General features: G+C 49.1%; 1 protein-coding gene across 24 annotated transcripts in view, besides 2 other annotated features; it reads right to left on the bottom strand.

The window, feature by feature from the left end:
• Window positions 1-20,901, bottom strand: part of TNS3 (tensin 3) — a 307,433-nt gene that overhangs the window by 126,785 nt on the left and 159,747 nt on the right. For all 24 annotated transcript variants that reach the window (XM_047420733.1, XM_047420729.1, NM_001410878.1 and 21 more), the window contains 3 exons: window positions 13,156-13,268; window positions 11,999-12,059; window positions 9,789-9,864 (listed from right to left, as the gene is read on the bottom strand). In XM_047420733.1, coding sequence (XP_047276689.1) covers window positions 9,789-9,864; window positions 11,999-12,059; window positions 13,156-13,268 — 250 coding nt within the window. The remainder of the gene's footprint in view (window positions 1-9,788; window positions 9,865-11,998; window positions 12,060-13,155; window positions 13,269-20,901) is intronic.
• Window positions 1,192-1,700: an enhancer, noted in NCBI's record as "H3K4me1 hESC enhancer chr7:47442727-47443235 (GRCh37/hg19 assembly coordinates)". NCBI's record gives its function as "activates a minimal SCP1, AML or CMV promoter by ChIP-STARR-seq in naive H9 embryonic stem cells {active_cell/tissue: H9 hESC(naive)}" and the evidence as "EXISTENCE:reporter gene assay evidence [ECO:0000049][PMID:30033119]".
• Window positions 17,499-18,000: an enhancer, noted in NCBI's record as "NANOG hESC enhancer chr7:47459035-47459536 (GRCh37/hg19 assembly coordinates)". NCBI's record gives its function as "activates a minimal SCP1, AML or CMV promoter by ChIP-STARR-seq in primed H9 embryonic stem cells {active_cell/tissue: H9 hESC(primed)}" and the evidence as "EXISTENCE:reporter gene assay evidence [ECO:0000049][PMID:30033119]".

Here is a 20,901-nt window from a genome sequence, read left to right on the forward strand (position 1 = left end):
GGGTAGTGACTACCAGAGACAGCCACGTTCCCATAAAAGAGACTTTTCTTGGAGAAAGATGGCTTTAAAATATCACATGCCTCACAACAGTAAATGAGAAGCCACCGCAGCAGGTATGATCCGGACCAGCATGCGGGAGAATTCTGCAGGGAGGGTCTTCCCTAACCAGATGAACATCCACCAGAGGAACAAAAAGCCCAGAAACCCAGCCCAGGAGGCAGGGAGCTGTGACTCCAGGCAGACCCAGAAGATGTTTACCTTTGTGCTATCTACAAGGAAAGGGACGGGTAAATAAACCAAAAAAATATAATTAAGACTGTGGAAGGATGTTCCCTGTTGACAAACATGACTGGGTCTCCCTTGTACGGCCTGGCGCTGGCCAGCGGTGCTGTAAACATGGGGCTCAGACTCAGGCCTGGCCTCCAGGGGCCCAGGAACCAGGGCGTTTGCAAGTAGAAAACTGGCATTGTGAAGAAATGTTGCCTCAATTTGCTTTCCAACAGCCAATGGCACGTTGGCCACAAATCTACCACCTCTGTCCGAGACTGACTTCTCAGCAAGACTCAATCAAAGGCTGCCCTTGCAGGGATCCTTCCAGGATGTTCTGAGAGTATCTGGGCCCCTCCTTTGAGCTCCCCATGCCCCACACTCACTACACTGACCACCCATCAAATGCTTCAACCTGGGGCATATTGTAGAGATCCCCAGAGGGAGGTCCTTCTGGCCAAGGGTAAATCCACACATGCACCCCCATTGATAGAGATGATAGCACCCACCTTTCCCTGTCTGCCTTCAAATGTGCCTGTCTGCCTCCACTAGTGCCTTGCAAATGGGGAGTGAAAAGTGGTTAGGGAAGGGAAAAGGAAAAGAGATGCCCCAATTCAAGCCAGTCTTGCTCTCAAATTTTATAAATATTTAAGGGAACCAGAGATTTAAAAAAATAAAAACAACAACACGATGTCAGCTGATAGCTCACGCAGCCTGTGCTGCCATGGGCGCCAACATTTGCCCACAGGAGTCAGGAAACTCCTCAGGAGGCAGCTGTGGGCTCAGTCCTGGCAGGCAGGGAGTGTCCTGGGTGAAAACAGAGGGAGCTGTGGGCTCCAGTACGGGCCACATAAGGGGCACAGTGGAATATCCCCAACCGCAGCTCACCGTGCCCCTCCCGTCAGTACCGCCCCGCCCAGCGCAGGGCCTCCTTCCAGGCCAGGTCCTGCCCTCCCTCTTCAGGAATCCAGGATGCTCCCCCAGGTCCCCCCACTGCTCCTCATAGCAGCTACACACAAACACACTGCTCCTCCCGCAGCAATCCCAGCTCCCTCCACATACCAGAAGGGAGGAGAAGGCAGGCCACGGTGCCCAGGAGGTACAGAGTGGCAGGAGATGGGAATCGGCCTGTCCCAAACAGGTTCCTCTCCAGGCCCCATATGATTCTCCTGTAAGATTCCTATTTTTCACAGCACAAGCTTTCAAATACTCCTAAGGCTCCACAGTGAAAGAAAGAGCGGTCTATCCCACTGGCAGAGAACAACTGCTGCCTGAAATCACGTGGCCCTCCCTTCAGGGGTTTCTCTGTGTATTTTAATGCTAACTTTGTTTGCTGGCTTGAGATCCTAACGGCCTCATCATACACAATCCCTGTTTCATATTAAACCTCTTTCCTCTTGATTAATGGAGGTAAACACCACCCTCCCCAGTCCTCCTGACCAAATCATGAACTGACTCCAGCTTCTTCTGAAAGACACGGAAAACCACAGGATTTTCCCTAACTCGGGGCTCCCAGCAACCACCATCAACACAGCAGGTCAGATCTTGAGACAAAATCCACTCACCAACCAGGAGCCCTCCATAGTGTGCAATAATTATGCATTATCTACATCAACAAATCTTTTTAGGAGCAATGGCAAGAGATCAGAATTATGCTTGTAATACTTAACAGAAAGAACAATCAACATGGTACTTGGTACGAGGGCCCCCAAATGCCTCCCTTTAAGATATAATAGTAATGCAAACATTTCGTAAAGATTAGACTGATTCAAGTCTATAATTTTCCCTTCATCCCTCCGGCTTTAACTTTATTTACCTGGGTCTCCCCAGAGTGTTTCTAGAATATGTTGATCCTTTGCCTTCAGATTTTAGAATATCTGCATTTAAAATAACAACTCAAAGATGTGCAGTCACAATTTTGTAGCATAGAAAAATGAAATAAGAAATAGCAAGCACCACAACAAAGGCTGCGCACAGCCTGTCACCATGCTATCATAGAGCCAACCACAAAAGTACGTGGGTGTGATGTTGACATCACAAATCGCTGGGAGCACTCAGATCTTGAGAAAGTTGCAGCCTCTTTAGACTTTAAATTCTCTGACTGCAAAATGAGTATTATGATATTGACCTGGCTATGTTGTTATAAAGATTAAATTAGCACTACATATTAATATAATTCATTATCCAATAATGATATGCTATATTTATATGAATATATTATTTAAAGGGCATAAGCTTCTAGAGAGAGGGCACTTGGTACTCAAAAACATATAGGGTGAATGATGATCTCAATGGGAAGGCCTGTAAGCACTCTTGCTTTCTTTTAGTCTGATGAGGCAATTCAGAAACCATCGCCAAAATTTATTTTCTAATAGTGGTATAAAAATATGCCTGTGCCCGGCCGGGCGCGGTGGCTCACGCCTGTAATCCCAGCACTTTGGGAGGCCGAGGCAGGCGGATCACAAGGTCAGGAGATCGACACCATCCTGGCTAACATGGTGAAACCCCGTCTTTACTAAAAAAATACAAAAAGCCGGTCATGGGGGCAGGCGCCTGTAGTCCCAGCTACTCGGGAGGCTGAGGCAGGAGAATGGCATGAACCCAGGAGGTGGAGCTTGCGGTGAGCCAAGATTGCACCACTGTACTCCAGCCTGGGTGACAGAGAGACACTCAGTCTCAAAAAATAAAAATAAAAATAAAAATAAAAATATGCCTGTGCCCTTGACTGGACTGGACAAGTTGCTGGTGACCAGGAACGGAGCCCTGCCTTGACCTCATTTGCTCCTGGAGTACACCAAGTCGAAGGCAGACACATGGAATTCTCAAAGAAGTTATCCCTCAATCCAGTGTTTAAAGACACTGATGACTTGCTTAACTTTAGGCCACATAAGTGTATTTTTATTTCAAACTCTCCATCAACAAGAGAAAAAGCACCATGTACCAAGAGAGTCAAGGCTTAAGGTATCAGCCCCAGGAATGCCAGTCCCCAATTCAGAAGTCAGCCCTCAGGTTCCTATCATCCCCCAATGCCAGCCGTTGCTGGGCAGCTCCTATTCAGCTCTGCTTCCCCTAAATTTACTAAGCAAAAGAGCAGAACCCTCAAAGCATCCCTAACAGAAAAGAGTAACATTCTCACTCAATGCTCCACTGGTGGCCCAGGCAACTGTCTACGCAGGCCTCAAGGAATCTGTGAACTCAGAGAATGAGTTACAACCGCATATTTGGAGGGTAAAAAGTTAGATAGCTAAGCCCCATAGGTCAAAGACTTAAGTCAGGCAGGGCCAACACTAACCATGATTTCTTCACTTGGAGCTGAAAATGACTTCAGATGTTCGCAATATTGTAATTCATGACCTAAAGCAATTGAAAGGTGGGTAAATATTGGCTGCAAACGAAAACACAACCAAGTCCACTATGCTGAGATGACAGCATGGATTAAGACCCAGCCCAGTCTAAAAGGGAGAGGAAAAGGCAATCACAAAATAATGCTGTGATGCGTCCAACAGAGATCTGTAGAAACCTCTCCTGGGGCAGAGTCTCAGGAGAACACTTTCATTTTCCCTGGCCTTATGTAAGTGCCCTCGGTAAGAAACAACCAGCAACAGCACTATTTGTTTGTGAAAACTTCTTGAGCAGGCAACACCTTTGTTTACAAGTCGGGTCACTGGAGCGAGGTTCTAGAGCCAGCAACCATGAACACAAAATTCAAGTGGCCGTGGATTTGTCCAAGCAGGGGCAGCAAGATGAAGCATGTGTTTACAAACTGTGGACCTGAGAGCCGAGACCAGGGAGGGAGCAAGCCGGATCAGGCCCCTGGAGCCCTGCCAGACTCCTGATGAGCCCGCTGCCCGCATGAATTCCTGAACAGGGTTACATAACGCCTCGGCTGCCCTCCCCATGGCACTGTCTGACAATGCCATATTTACTAAACCTCTTGAGGTTCTGCCCTTTTGAAAGGAGCAGACTTAAGAATCTGACCTTTTGGGAAAAGCACACTGCAAAGATGGGATGGGTCAGGTGTGCAGCTGGGAGGGGCCAAGCAGGGATGGGCTGGCTGTGTCGAGGCGAAGGCAGACGGTGGGTCAAGGTCAGCTTTGCTGTTGCCTGCAGCAGCTCCATCTGCTAGTAACTGAGTCCAGGGAGTGGCAAGTGGGGCTCTGTTTTCCCAAGTCACTTTCTGCAGTTAGACTTGACTCTGGCCCTTCCTTCTCTGTGAACTTGACCACTGTGATCTTTGCCAGTAAGTCCCAGTGCAGAGGCCCTCATGAGGAAAGCCAGGCAGATGTCCCTGCAGGCAAGGCAGACACCAGAACCACGGAGGGGAAAACTCAAAGAGGACAAGAGGCCTTTTGAAGGAGGAGGATTAAGGATGGCTACCCCGCCTGGGAAGCCACTTTCCGCCTTCAAAAGTACACAGACAGCCTCAGAAAACACCCAGACTGAGGGCACCAAGCCATCTGCAGTCTTCAGGGTGTAAATCTATGCACATGCTTTCTGCTCGTTAGGATCCTCTCCAAGCCATGACTGTTGCCAAAAGAAATAAAACCACCTGCATATCTGAACTTTACACAGAAAAGGCCCTGTAACTTCTTCCCCCACTACAGCCTTCTCAACTTAAGGATTGCTCAGTGAACCTGCAGCAGGGCACGTCACGCAGGCACAGGGAAAAACTGAAGGAAGGGCAAAGTGAAGGCGGCGTGGGCATCCTGTGCTGAGCATGGCAGAGTGGGTCACTGGAAGGTCGGAAGAGGCTGGAGAGGAGGAATCCGGTGCTGCTCCTGCCCTGCACACCCTCAGAACACCCAGAAGAAGCATGAACGGGAGGAGGGGATGGCTCCCGCTCCTCTCTAGGGATGCTTTGCCAATAATGAGAAACGTGCAACCGCATTTTTTTCTTCCTGTGTTGTTCCCTTAGGTCGTTTTCAGAGGGAGTCAACAGCACTGAGATTTCTGGGCTTTGGCAAAAGATGCACTCCCGACTCTGATGGGAGTGCTGGCAGTGACACCCTGGGTTTCTACTCTCCAGGTCGACCACAGATGTGAGCTCTGCTGTGAAGCCACTCCTTCTCTGACACGCTGGAAATCATCTCTCCCACCTAACCTTTAGCTCTTGCCGCCGCGCACCTTCTGCCATGCTCAGTTCCACCTGCCCTAGCTATCTGCATGCTCATCTCCCTGAAGGACCCAGACTCCCGGGAGCAGGAGCCCTGCACTGCCCACTCACGTGTCCACCGCATCTTCTCATGCAGGCCGCACGCTGAACGTGCTCAGGATAAAGGCTGGTGACAAACCACAGCCACAGGGACTGGGCCGTCAATGGCACCTGACTGCGCTAGTAATCTTACTAAACTTTCTAGGAGAGGTTTATTTAATAAACAGACTTGTTACAGGCTGAATGGTGTCCTTCCAAAATCCATAAGTTGAAGGTCTCAGCACTTCAGCATAGGGCTGTGTTTGGAGATGGGGTCTTCACAAAGGTAAATTAAAATGAGGTCATTAGGCTGGGCCCGAATGAATGATAACTGGTGTCCTTGTAAGAAGAGATGAGGACATAGACACACAGAGGGAAGCCCAGGTGAGGACACAGGGAGAAGACAGCCACCTCCAGGTCAAGGAGAGAGGCCTCAGGAGAAACCACCCTGCCCACACCTGGATCTCAGGCTCCCAGCCTCCAGGACTGTGGGAGAATCACCTCTGTTGTTTAAGCTGAGACCAAAGGGTGAAGCCTGAGTTGAGAGGTCAGGGCCAGGGTGGGTGGACAGTGCTAGATCAGCAGGGCTTGGGGACAGAATGGCGGGATCAGCTGGGGCAGCAAGAGGCGGCTGGCGGGTTCCAGTGGCCTGAGGGACACAGAGTCTGAATGCCAAGCAGGTTAGAGCCAGCAACAGGTAGAAGACCAGGAGGAGATGGCAGGCTGGAGAACGCCAGCCCAGGGTGGCCTGGAGGCCATTGGGAACACTCCCAAGGGCTGCAGGTGGGACACTGAGGAAAGGAGGCCACCGCCTCCTTCACCCACTCACGGCCCCTCTCTGCCCTGCCCCACCCTGTTCCTGGGCCTGCCTCATTTATCAAGTGCCAAACCCACACCTCCACCACACCCCTTCCAAGTCCCACCCACACCGCCCACTCAAAGCCTCATTCCAACTGCTACAACAGAGATGCATGTAATGTCTACTCAGACCACACGCTTGGGCTGCGGTGCCCACTACAGGGTGGGACAGGATAAGACGCAGCACCATGGGGAGAGGGCCTATGGGGTGGGTGGGGTGCTGGGGGCTCTTCCAGAGGGAAGAGGCAGTGGCTGCCCCAAAGACTAAGCCACAGTCTGGTCCGATAGAGGAAAGTGACCTGGTGATGCCGCAGGGTCACATCGATGCAGTTTCATCCTCTGCCAGGCGCTGTCCTGGGAGACTTATGTGACTGAGTACATTTAATCCTTACAAACCTGCACTAGGCAGAGGTCTAACACTTCCCAAAACAAAATATGCAAATATGTAAGCCCTACAAAATCTGGTTTCAACCTTCCAAGACAACGACTTTCCTTGCAAGACAGACATCCTTACAACAGCATCAGCCTTTGTGGGTGCCTCAAGCCTGGGATGCTTCATCTGTTTGTATAATAACACCCCTTCCAACCTGGAGCCAACTCACAGGACACGTCCATCTGAGTCCTCCTGTGACCTCTCCCACCCCGTCTCATCAAGGCCTCTGTAGGCTACACGGTATCAGTAGGTTCCCTCCTGCCAGAAAGCCCATGTCCCCAACGGGATCCTCTAGGGCAAAAACTTCACTCATGGGCCTAGAGCAAGCATAGCAACTCCAAAAGCACAAAACATTAAAAAAAAAGACTACTGGATGAATGACAGTAGGAAGAAGGGGCCACAGAAAATAATGAGGAGGAAGGAGGGAGGGAGCAGAGAGGAGGAAAAGGAAGAAGGGCAAGAGGAGGAGGGAGAAGTTTGTAAAGGCAGGGTGGGAGAGAAGAGAGGGGAGAAGAGAAGGAAGGAGGAGGAGGTAGCTGGGAAGAGAGGAGAGGAGCCAGGCACTTCCCAGGAGACTGCCCCCGCCCGCCTGGTCTCAGGAAGACCCTGCAGCTACCAGCCCATAAACAGCCCAGGGGAGAGGGCCCCGCCTGGTCTCAGGAAGACCCTGCAGCTACCAGCCCATAAACAGCCCAGGGGAGAGGGCCGTCCCATGCTCTTGGTGGGCGGTAGGGGGGAAGACACATCTTAGCCTGAGGGTCACCCTCTATGACTGAGTTGTTCAGCTGCCTCCCATGAGTCATCTTAAAGGGACGGAGCCGTGGGGCAATAACTACTCATCACTGAAGACCTGGTTCAGGGAGCACCCGCCCTTGAGATGCTGCCTCCCAGGGCAGGTAGAACACTACGCAAACAAGATGAGGGCGGGTGCAAATCCTACCAGCATCGCCCCCAGCCTCTCTTGGCCTATTCTTTTTTTTTTACCTCTGAGACGGAGTCTCGCTCTGTCGCCCAGGCTGGAGTGCAGTAGCGCAATTTTGGCTCACTGCAAGCTCCGCCTCCTGGGTTCATGCCATTCTCCTGCCTCAGCCTCCTGAGTAGGTGGGACTACAGGCACGCGCCACCTTGCCCAGCTTATTTTTTGTATTTTTAGTAGAGATGGGGTTTCACCGTGTCAGCCAGGATGGTCTCGATCTCCTGACCTCGTGATCCGCCCACCTCAGCCTCCCAAAGTGCTGGGATTACAGGCGTGAGCCACTGCGCCCAGCCCGGCCTCCTCTTTAAAGCTGGAACACTAGACCCAGTTCCAGAGTGGGTGGAGGAGTAAAGTGCTGAACATAGCCGGTGCTCAATACAGACTCAGGCCCTTCGTCCAACGATCCCAGGAAGTGTCCTGGGAGAAGGAGCCTCCAGGGTGAAGCCTCCTAGGAAACAAGCCCAGGGCTGCCTTCTGGACCACAGGATGTGAGGAACACCAGAGCGGATGTTTCTCTCCCCTCCTGGTCCTCCCTCTCACTTCCAGCCACAGGGATGCTGCACCATCGCTGCAGCACAGCACTGCTGAGGACAGACTTCCAGCCCAGGTCCTCCTCCTTAGGACAGTAGAACAGAGAGCTGAGGAAACGGGCCTATAAAAACGTATGACGCACCCCAAACCTCAGCTTTCTTGCCTATGAAACAGGAGGCAAGATGTTTATAAAGTGCTTACTCAATGCCTTGAAAAGGGCTGGGCCCAGCTGTTGTTCCAGACCTGCCTTCCAGGCCTGAAGAACCCCTCAATTAGGTGGTGAGCATGTGAAACAGGACAGACCTGGAGGCCCCAGAGGGACCCCGCAGGCGTGGATGGGTTTAGACTGTCTCCACCTTCAATCCTCTCCACCTTCGATCCTCGCTGATTTGATTTTTGTAAGAATTCAGGACCAGCAAGGTAGGGAGTTCACCATCCACTAAGCTAAGATTTCAAAATCTAGGGGTTACAGGGAAATTAATGAAAATCCTCAAAAACTTTGTATAGGGTATTTATAATACAATGAAAAGCTATTTCTCGAGTCACCCTACTGCCTTATAGAAGTGGGTCTTCCAAGGCCATGAAATCTTTACATTCTATGATTCTATGCATGCTGAAAGTCATACATATGCCTTAAAAGCTTACCTTATTTCAGATAAAAAATTTTCCTAAAATTATTTTAAATGTATGAATTGTTTGTATTCAAGAAAGATAAAAGGCAAAAATGTAATGGCTAATCTCCTCCAAGAACCAACACACATAAGAATCAAAATTATCTGGAGAAATCATTGTTTTGATCATTAATCAAGCTGTAATTGCACCAGCTGTATTTCACACTTTGGCTATTAATGATACATAAATATTCTATTTCTGCACCCACACTCTGGGAGGCCTGTGATCATGTGAAGAATGCAAATTATAGTCAGAACACAGGGGTTCTCAGAAGTGAGTGGCCGAGTTAGGACATTAATTTCCAGGTTGTATATCTCGAGGGGCTCTAGAATGAAAGAGAATCAAGAATGAAGATTTGTTCCGTCCCTTTAATTAAAATAGTTTTATTCAGAAAGTTAACTAAATGCCTTAAGGCAGTGGTCACCAATCTTTTTGGCACCAGGGACTGGTTTCACAGAAGATGATTTTTCCATGGACTGGTGGAGGATGGTTTCAGGATGAAACTGTTCCACCTCAGATCATCATTCTCCTAAGGAGTGTGCAACCTAGATCGCTCGCATACACAGTTCACAATAGGGTTCGCACTCTTATAAGAATCTCATGGCGCCGCTGATCTGACGGGAGGCTCAGGTGGTCATGCTCGCTCGCTGGCCCGGTTCCTAACAGGCCACAGACCGATAAGGTCCACGGCCCAGGCGTGGGGGACCCCAGTGTTAAGGTAAAAGCTACTTTTCCTTCTTCCTACAGGGTACTTTTTTTGGGGGTGAGGGTTACTGTTTTAACACAGAATCATGATTTCAAGTCATCACCACTGGGAGAGTGGGGACACCAACCCATCTGCGGCCACAGCGGGCACTCACCATGACATCTCCCTTCAGAAGCTGGGCCGGCTCGATGACGATGCAGATCCTGCTGGGGTTTTCTGGGCCAACGTTGCTTTGGGATGAAGAAGAAGGTAGATCATTATGCAACTTCATGATTTTGTGGGAAGAATACATGTAGAGAAAAGCAACCCTACAACCCAAAACTCAGAAATTACACAGAATGCCCAATCAGCCCAGAATCTAATTCCTGAGAATCTAAATGAATCTAAAAAGGTAAAGAAAGCTCCCAGGCCATGGAGGGTCCTCATAGCATCATCATGGTCAGTGACTGACTTGAAGTGACTAAGGTCCAACTCCAGAGGCCCGAGCTTGGAGACGACCATGCAGGCTTAGAGGAAGGGGCCCAGGGTGTGCACAGCCACAGTTTCAGTTACAAACTGAGGGTGCAATTCCAGAGTGACATCAGTGCACAGAGGGCCCAGAGCAAACCCAGAAATGTGACAACAGCTCTTTGTGAGTAATGAGAATATTTGTTTCCTTTACTGACTTTTCATAAAATGCCTGTCCACATACAAAAAGACAAAGAAAACTCAGGAATGTGTACAAATTTGGGGGATGTGTGGCTACGTATTGTTTAAAATGCAAAGGAGGCTAGACATGGCTCACGCCTGTAATCCCAGCACTTTGGGAAGCCAAGGCAGGCAGATCACTTGAGGTCAGGAGTTTGAGACCAGCCTGGCTAACATAGTGAAACCCCGTCTCTACAAAAATATGAAATTTAGCTGGGCATGATGGCAGGTGCCTGTAATCCCAGCTACTCGGGAGGCTGAAGCAGGAGAATCGCTTGAACCTAGGAAGTGGAGGTTGCAGTGAGTGGAGATCGTGCCAGAGCGAGATGCTCTCTCAAAAAAAATAAATAAATAAAAATGGAAAACAAAATGGAAAGGAGCGAGAAAGAAAAACCATAGTAGTGAGATCCTATCGTAGGACTCTCTCCAGTAGGCTCACAGTTAACCTTCCCTATTCTTGGGTTCCACATTCATGGACTCAACTGACTGGGGACAGAAAATATTGTGGGAAATAAATAAAAAACAAAAATGCAACCATAAAAAATAATAGAAGTTAAAAAACAATACATTGTAACAACTATTTTCACAGCCTTTACATTGAATTAGGTATTGTTATGTAATCTAGAGATGATTTAAAGTATACAGGAGAATGCTCATGGGTTATATGAAAATACAATGCCAGTTTTTTTGTTGTTGTTGTTTTCTTTTTTTTTCAGACCGAGTCTCGCTCTGTCGCCAGGCTGGAGTGCCATGGCACAATCTCGGCTCACTGCAACCTCTGCCTCTCAGGTTCAAGCAATTCTCCTGCCTCAGCCTCCCAAGCAGCTGGGACTACAGGCACACGCCACCATGCCCAGCTAATTTTTGTATTTTTAGTAGAGACGGGATTTCACCATATTGGCCAGGATGGTCTCAATCTCTTGACCTTGTGATCAGCCCACCTCCACCTCCCAAAGTGCTGGGATTACAGGTGTGAGCCACCAAGCCTGGCCTTTTTTTTTTTTTTTTTTTTTTTTGACTCTCGCTCTGTCACCTAGCCTGGAGTGCAGTGGTGTGATCTCGGCTCACTGCAACCTCCACCTCCCAGGTTCAAGTGAATTCTCCTGCCTCCACCTCGAGTGGCTGGGTTTACAGATGCACGACCCCAAGACTGGCTAATTTTTGTATTTTTAGTAGAGACGGGGTTTCACCATGATGGCCAGGGGCTCGGTGGCTCACATCTGTAATCCTGGCACTTTGGGAGGCCGAGACGGGTAGATCACTTGAGGTCAGGAGTTCAAGACAATGCCGTTTTATAAAACACACTTGAACATCCTCGGATTTGGTAATCAAAGGGGGTCCTGGAATCAATACCCCTTGAAAACCAAGGGGCCACCATACTCCAAAAAGCAAATGGCCCACTCTCCCCTCAAAATTCCAGCCCCCACGTCCTTTAATGGAGCCAACTAGTGTGACAGCCCAAAGACACTTGTGCAGGGCAGGAGGGAGGGCCAAGGCGTGATGCTGGAGCACGGGCCACGAGAGGATTTTCCCCACTGGACTCTTCTTTGGCTTCTTGGCATTCTCTGACCTGAACCCTCCCACACTCTTCCTGCGGGACAGGCAGCTGAGGGTCAGCTGCAGTTCCCTGAGCCGTCCAGGTCCCACAACAGCAGCAGCAGCAGCAGCAGCACTCACTAGATCCCGGAGGTGTACACAGGCTGCATGGCTTGGTAGAGCTTCAGAAAGGGCCGGCACACTGAAAGAAAGGCACAACTGTCTGTAGAGGCATGACCGGTACAGAACGAACAGGAATTTGGCAATCAGAAAGACAGAAAGCGACGAGGAGACCAGGAGACTGCACCTGCGGCCTTTGAGGTCTGGGAAAGCAGTGCATGGAGCCACAGGGTTGCTGCAGGAAAAGGCCGGACCCGGTCCTAGAAGCCTGCAGAGCAACACAGTTTGACCTTTATCCAAAGGGTGCCAAAGGCTCCTGAAGTGAAGCCAAGCTGCTTCAAAACCAACTAGCAGCTTGGCAAGGTCACTCTGGCCATAATGACCAGGGGGACCTGAAGGCACAGATGTACTTCAGAGACAATAGAAACCTCTGAGCAAGCACCTGCATGCGACTGGCGAGGAAGGGCAAGGGTCCTGAATCCCAGCCATGTGCTGTGTGTGCCTGCATAGGACTGGGAAGGAGAGGACAGGGCCCTGACCCTCAGCCATGTGCCATTTGCTCCTGCATGGGACAAGGGAGGAGGGATAGGGCCCTGCTGACCCTCGGCCATATACTCTGTGCACCTTTGGGGAACTGGGGATGTGGAGACAGGGCCGTGATCCCCAGTCGTGTGCTGTGCTCATCTAAGTGGGACAGGAAGGAGGGCTCAGGGCCCTCACCCTCAGCTACATGCTGTGTGCTTTCCTGTGGGGTCATTTTAAAGGAGGAGGAGGAGATGGGTTCATGAGATGCGTCAGGGGAGACTGGGTCACATTCATGCCTCTTACTGGGCTTCTTCCATGGCTTGTGACCTCAAGGCCAACTGCACAGCTGACCCACTAGGGCTGCAGCCCAGAACAATGCTTGTCTGCCCTAGTCACTGTGCATATACACAGGGGTATTTCTGATCCCCCTTGCTGGCCGCCAGTCCCTCCCCTGATTAAATAACTTGGCCCAACCACATAAACATGGGGCTCTGACCACTGAAGGGGGACCCAGTCAATCGCCAGGGAGGCAGAGGAGCAGATCCTGGGCCCTCTCGGAAGGAAAGCCGAGGCTTATCTAAATTGAGGGGCCCAGGACCAGCTCCAAGTCTGGGCCAGCCAATCGCAGGTGCCACGTCATAGGGGACACTCACCTCCACCTGTGTCGAAGTTGGGGGTGCCGTGGAGGATGACAAAATGCAGGAACAGGGGAGAGGCATTCATTTTCACCGATCCGGACAGGAGCCCACTGAGGAACTGAACATACCTGCAAAACGGACAGCTGGGTTACACTTCCCAGAAGTGTCTTCAGCCTCTGCTGAGAAGGGAACTCAAGGAGAAACACATCCTGGCTGAGTCTGGGGCTCTGGGAGAGAATCGGTCCACTGCTCACAGCCAGGGGTTCTCAGCATGGTGCTGCGCTTACAGGTCTGAGGGCTTCCCACCAGCGCACCAGGCACCAAGCACCAGACACCAAGGCACAACCGGCCTCTTGGCTTGAGCATCCCACACCTGAAAGGCCTCTGTGCCTGTCCACTGAACCTATCGCCAGGCAAAGCCAGGCCACAGGCCACAGGCCATCACAATCCCCACTGGTGAGCAGCAGGAAGCAGAGGCCTGGCACACCGGTGGGCGTGTGCTCTGTCACTAGCATTGCACCTATGGCAGGGTCACATGACCCAGGCCCAGAACCACTCACTGCACCTGCTGCTTTCTGCTCATACTCGAGAGCCCTAAGAAAAGGCTGGAGTCCATACTCCCCTCCTATCCCGCAGCCTTCCACGCCACATCTGATAAGAGGCTCTCCTTCCTGCTGTCCCCCTCTTCAAGGCCCAGCTCCAAAGGCGAAGGCCATGTGGGCCATCAGCCTTTCTGAGTTCTAGGAGTCGGCCTCATGCTTCCAACACTGACTGCACACAACTTCCATGAGCATTTGGTGGTCAAGAGGGAAGCTTCTACACTAGGAGCATCTGACTGCTGGGGTCCTCATGAGGCATGACGTGGCAGCAGTGACCACAGGATGAGCCGGAGGCTTACCAAGCTCTCTGACGCTTCCCTGGCCTGTCCTGCCTGTTGGTGCCCTGCCTGGCGTGGCCCCTGCCCTGAGGTCCCTCACCATGGCCACTTCACCCACATAACCTCCACTGTAGCCTCAACACCTTGCATGGAATCTGTGTTTCCATATCTGTCTCCACCAAAGTACTGTACTCTTTGCAAGAAAAACCCAAACAATCAAAAACTCCGCAATATTTAACAATCTGTGCATCTCTCTACTGCCATGGCAGACTGAGGCAGGAAGTGGCAGGTGACTGTGTTGCCAGCACCTACAACCATCCTACCCTAAGCCAGAAACGGCCATCATGGACCTTGTGTTAAGACAAAAGTCTCTCACTTACGCTGGCAATTCACACCCAGTCCCTTATTCAAGCAGTTAAATTTGTATACAAACAAACTAAACAAGAGAAGATTTCTGTTAAACATTAACAAAAAAGGAAAGCCCTACTTATAGTCCACCCACTAGGAAAATGTTAGAAAAGCGAGTTTGCTTCAGTTCAGTTACAATTCGTAGTGAGAAACAGGGCATGTCAGTATTTCCATCTTCCTGGCAGCAAACTTCTCTTCTGCTCTCTCAGAACAGGGCAAAACCTCACAAGAGTCGCAGAGGACAGATGCTCAGCCTGGAGACGTGGGGACCCTGTGAGGCTGATGACCAGACTTCAGTGGACCTCCAGGCAGCTCCCACACGCCTCTCCTGCAGGGTACTTTCTACCCTGGCAACAAGACTTCTCACCCTCAGTTGTACGTAGGCAGAGGAATGCATGAATTGTATATGTTTAATCATGCAAATTTTACGCATTGTGGATTTCATGGGTCCTTTGGCTCCCTGGTTTTGAGTAAAAGTGAGGAACCACAAATGCCCGGATTGAGAGGCCTGAGTCACCTCCTCTGGAGCAGTTCCGCCCTCCTTCCAGCACGGGGCAGCCCTGGTCACTGGGAAATCAGCTTCCTCAGCTCGTCCAGTTTGTCAGTGGCACCCTGAGTCCCACACTGCCTGGCCATGTGCTGCAGTGACCACGCGGCTAAGACGGACCTGTTCCCTGGGGGTGTTCTCAGTGCCCCATGTGCACCTGGACCAGGCATCTAGGTGAAGTCGATGTTTGTTTTATGACTTCCTGCAAACATGGAAGACTCTGGAGCGCTGGGCCTGAGGGGCTCCTGTTCATGGCAGCATAAGGGGTCCAAGTAGCTAAGCCCAGAGTTAGCGCCAAGGTCCTATGAGGGGCAAACAGCCATCCTCCGGGAAACCATGGCCTCTCCCTGACCCAGGTCTTGTACCATACTGTGGTCACACAGCTTCATTTCTGCTGATGTGGCCTGGCCGAAATTGTTGCCCCTGACACCAGACGAAGCACGAGAAGTATTTCCTTCAGATGAGGAGGGCCAAGCTGACAGCAGAAGAACTTTGTTTTGCCACGAGCTCCCAAAGAAGGCCAAAGTCCAGGGCCACAAGCCCAGTAGTGGTCAGAGGGGAAGGGAAGGAGGCTGTCACTGCCTGGGACCCAGGACTCCAGAGTCTTCTCCCCAAAACCAGTTCTCAACAGTCATCACCTCCCAGGTCAGTCTACAAAGGGCTGCTCAGGTGGTAGCTTAACCAATCAAAAAGTAACCTCTTGGAATATAATTCTCATCTGTCCTTTATAGAAAACAACTTTTTATGCATCATATTTTCAGGTAAATTAAAGACATAAAATGCTAAGGTAAATGTAATTTTTTTTCTTCCTTCACATGCTTTCTTAATAAGGTAAGATTAACAACAACAACAAAAAAAAACCAACATATTGTTCAAAATCCCAAATAAAAGCATGCCTTTAAAAAACATTTTTTAAAAAATAGCAATGCCTTATAAAAACAACAAAGTTCACTGCAACTATAAGCTGTAGTGAATGCTATGAGATTGCAGACAGATAGCCAACGTAGGTAATAGCACTGAGTTTGTGAGTGACTTCTTAGAGAACCACCATCAGTACCAAAGAACAGAACATTCAGGTATGGATGAAAATAAGGGAGGCCAGGCGCAGTGGCTCCCGCCTATAATCCCAGCACTCTGGGAGGCTGAGGTGGGAGGATCACCTGAGGTCAGGAGTTTGAGACCAGCCTAGCCAACATGCTGAAATCCTGTCTCTACAAAAAATTAATTAATTAATTTTAAAAATTAGCTGGGCATGGTGGCATGCGCCTGTAATCCCAGCTACACAGGAAGCTGAGGCATGAGAATTGCTTGAACCAGGAGGCAGAGGTTGCAGTGAGCCTAGACTGCACCACTGCACTCCAGCCTGAGTGACAGAGCAAGACCCTGTCTCAAAGTAAAAAAAGAAAAGAAGGGGAAATGAACATAATAGGACAGAATTGCACAATTAGTTCATCCAGCTGACTATGGAAAGGATCAACTTTAACTTCGTATACACAGTATTTATCTGTGGCATTAAAGGTAGATATAAATGAATCAATTGTAGGGTATCAGATGCCCTCTAAAGACCATCCCAACAGCCTTATCCAAAATAAAATGTTCCTACTTAGTCAACACAGTTTTCAGAGCTGGAAAGATTAGAAACCAGATACTTTATAAAAACAGCTCCATTATTTTCCCATTGCTATCTTTTCTTTCTTTTTAGGAAATAACTCCCTGGAGATGATGTTTTCCATGCTGCTTCTCAAACCAGTGAGTACATTTTAAAAACTAAAGGATTGTTTTTAAACTTGTAAGCAAACGAACATAAAAGCAGCTTGAAATTTTCAGTTGTCCCTTGCATTATTCACAGCCACTTCTAACAGCAAAAACTTCCATTTGGAATCTCCATAAATCTCCCTAAACATTTGAGTTGCACTAGACGTTAGCTTAAATCTGTCTGAAATGGTGGGTGCATAAAAATCAGCATTCAAATGTTACTTTTTCCAAGCAACAGGAACCATCGTCACAGGACATCTTTCCCAACAGCTTACTCATTCTACATTCCCAGCACTCACAGAGTCAGCCATGGCTGCAGGGGCAGCACCAACCGGCCAGGAAAGGTGAGCTGGGCCACCTGTTGGTGTCAGCCAAGCCTGGGCTGTTTCTTAACGTTCTGCTGAGCATTCCCTTCCCTCTCATGTAATGGGAAGAATAATGAGACCTACACATTGGAATTGCTGCAAAGATGAGTCAGTTGCATGGACATAAGGGTCAGAGTAGACCACAACACATCTGCCACAGCCTCTGCTCTCCTGAGGTATGCTGCCAGAGTGTAGGTGGCTTTGCCCACAGAGTTGGAGGCTCAGAGGGGATGTCCAGGCCCAGGCAAAGTGTGTGGCTCCCTGAGGAATGGTCACCCTTTTTCCGCAGGCTGTGGGCAGCAAGGAGGATGTGCAGGGAGGGGCCACAGGGGCATGAAGTAAAATAGCCTTTGCAAAAATTTTAACAGTGAGAGAAGTATGACAGTGAAAGAGATCTAATGTAACCAACCCCCATCTTGCCTTTAACCTCCTAGCTGCCCTTGGCTATTCCTGGGCTTGGACCAAACTAACTTTAGGAGAAAGTAAAGTTTATAGTTTAAATGATAATAGCCCAAAACTAAACCACTTTTGTAAAACTAATGCAAGACCACCACATTGGTAGGATGAAAGCGGCTTGAATTCTGCCAAGGTATAGACTTAAAAGATTACTCTGGGGATCACAAGATTTGCAACTTCCTCAATTACTGCTAGAGATAACATCACCATTGTAGAACCTAAGATTGGCCTTTTGAGATGTCTATTCAGGCTTTTGCATTTCTGACAACTGACAGCTCTACCTGACCTGCCAACTGTTCTCTGGCCCCACCCAGAAGTGGACTCAGAGGCAAAAGGGTCACTTTCCCCTATGATTGCACCCCCAACCACTCAGCAGCACCCCATTCCCTAGCCACCCCCTTCTCCCCAAAATATCTTTGAAAAACCCTAGCCTCCAAATTTTCCAGGGGGCTGATTTGGGTAGTAATAAAACTCTGGTCTCCTGTTCAGCCAGCTCTGCATGAATTAAACTCTTTCTCTACTGCAATTCCCCTGTCTTGGTAAATCGGCTATATCTGGGCATTGAATAATGAACCCATTTGTCGGTTACAGAGACTATCTGAGGAGCCTCATCCTTTAGAGAATGTGGAAAACTACTCTCCTTGTATCTTTAAAGTATTCTTTCAGGCACCTGAGGTACTGTGTCAAAAATGACAGAAATATGAAAAATCAAATAATGCCATTTTTACAGGCAGTTAGACAGGCATGAGCAGGGCAGCAGAGGGCTCTTTCCGCACGCACTAGGAGAATGTGGGGTAATGGTTCGGCAATTATCACATTGCCTCTCTGAAAGTGATACACTGGCAGCTGGTGCCAGGAGGAGGCCGTTTCCTGATGGTCCACGCCTATTGCACTGTTAATTGAATGCAGGCTCCAGGGAGACACAACTTCTTGGGCACGTGCATTAACAGAAAAAATGGCAGAGTATGACCTTCTCAGGGTACATCACCAGAAAAGGGAAGAAACCCTCAGATAGGCATGCGTACAACTTCCTAAACATACTGCATGTGCTCACTTCCCAAGCAAAAGGAGGGCACTATGCATTCGGGCAGCCCCCTCTGAGGGAAGAATCACGGGAAAGGGGCACAAGACATGGGAAGTGGGCCAGCCTATAAAGTCTAGGACCAAGGTTAAACACCACACTTGACCTTCATGTGCCCGCTTGGGTCTCTTCTAAGCGTACTTTCCTTTCTTTCTTGTTCTAAAGCCTTTTAAAATAAACTTCCACTCTGGCTCTGAAACTTGTCTCTGTCTCTTTTTCTGCCTTATATCCCTCAGTCAAATTCTTTCTTCTGAGCAGGCAAGAATTGAGGTTCCTGCAGACCCTTATGGATTCACTGCTGGTAACTCGGATACCTTCCACCAGTAACACTATATAGGATAATTTCTAGGACATCCTGATTTCTGTATGCCAAGACATTTGTTTGGTCTGTCTTCCCTTTACCTCAAAGGGACACCCAAATGTGCATAGACAACATGACTGATGGTCTTAGGTGACTCCCACATGGGGCCTCCCAGGGTCACCTTGGCAGGCAACACTCAGGAGAGATCAGCTCCCCAAAGAAACAACTGGCTACCTGTCACTTTCCCCATTAACTCCGTGATGGGGCCAAGAAACATGTGCTGCTGTCTCAACTATCTCAGAAAGAAAGGAAAGGCAGAAAAGAAAAGAGATGTCAGAAACGTTAATAATTTTAATATTATTTCCATGATGCTGATAATAAACCAAAACTATACCCGGATTTTTGGGGCGTTAGGAGGAGACAGGGTCTAGCTCTGTCATCCAGGCTGGCATGCAGTGGGGCAATTACAGCTCACTGTAACCTCCAACTCCTGGGCTCAAGGGATCCTCCCACCTCAGCTTCCAGAGTAGCTGGGACTACAGGTGTGTGCCATCACATCCAGCTAATTTTTTTTTTTTTTTTCTGATAGAGATGGGGTCTTCCTGTGTTGCTAAGGCAGGTCTCAAACTCCTGGACTCAAGGGATTGTCCGGCCTCAGCCTCCCAAAGAATCGGGATTACAGGTTAGAGTCACTGTGCCACACCCAGTATTTCTTTTTAACTACTTCTCAAAGAGGAAGGCTTCCAAGTTTAGGGAAGGAAGTTCAGGGGTGCCTCAATAACACAATGGTGGTCATGAGCACCAACAGGAGGCCACACTGGGGTGTCAACAAGCTGCTTCTCATGATTTGCTGAAGACAAGGAAGGTATAAAAACAGAAAACTTACATGGGCACATGTGAGTTTTACGGGTCAGCTCCATGGGCCAACTGCTCCATGGCGTTTCAGTGTAACAAAGATTGACCTCCCATCAGAGTTGCTGTTGAGACTTCTGAGCTTCCCAGTCACAAATTCCTTGCTAATTAATTATTCTCAAGAGTGATTATTACGAGTTTGACTTTAAAATGATTTCTTGAGCTCAGTCCTAAAGCAGCCTGCAGCGCACCCATCCCACTCCCCAGGCCATTCAGGACAACAGAGAAGCCTCCCATCACAGAGCCTATTCCCATACAAGCTGTCCTCACACGTTCTTCTGGTCTCAAACTTTCCTCCAGATTTATCTTATGCATTCATTCGTTTACATGCTCGATTACCATTTGGTGAGCATCTTTTCATGCAGGCTCTGGTCAAAATAAAAAGAAAAGAGCAAGGAGTAAGGGGCATTTCCCTAATCTCAGGAGCAGAGGGATTAACCTTGGAATGTAAAATTGAATCCAGCAAGCATTAAAAAATGCAAATGTTCTGGCTTCAAATGTGCAATGACGGGAAGGATGCATGAAAACCCTGGGCATGGGAATGTGAGAAGAGCAGGGCATGGTGGCTCACACGTGCAATCCCAGCATTTTGGGAAGCCACAGCAGAAGGATTATTCAAGCTCAGGGGTTCAAGACCAGCCTGGGCAACACAGTGAGACACTGTCTCCACAAAAATTTTAAAATTAGCTGAGCATGGTGATGTGCGCCTATAGTCTCAGCTACTCAAGAGGCTGAGGTGGAAGGATTGCTTGAGCCCAGGAGGTTGAGGCTGCTGTGAGCCAAGATTGCACCACTGCACTACAGCCTGGGTGACAGAGCAACACTCTGTTTCAAAAAAAGAAAAAAGAAAAGAAAAAAAAAATGAAGAGATATCTTCCCCCTTTTTCCATATTCTTTTAATGTTATAAACAAGCTGCTGGTGCCGTAAGAAATAAGAACAAAAAAAAGAAAAGACGACAGCTGGACTTCCTGTGTGCCAAGCATTCTGCATGGGTTACTCCCTATTTACACCTCATTTTCCATGCAGGAGGTCATATGAATGTCACGATTTTGGAAACT

Source organism: Homo sapiens, chromosome 7, assembly GCF_000001405.40.
Source record: "Homo sapiens chromosome 7, GRCh38.p14 Primary Assembly".
NCBI lineage: Eukaryota > Metazoa > Chordata > Mammalia > Primates > Hominidae > Homo > Homo sapiens.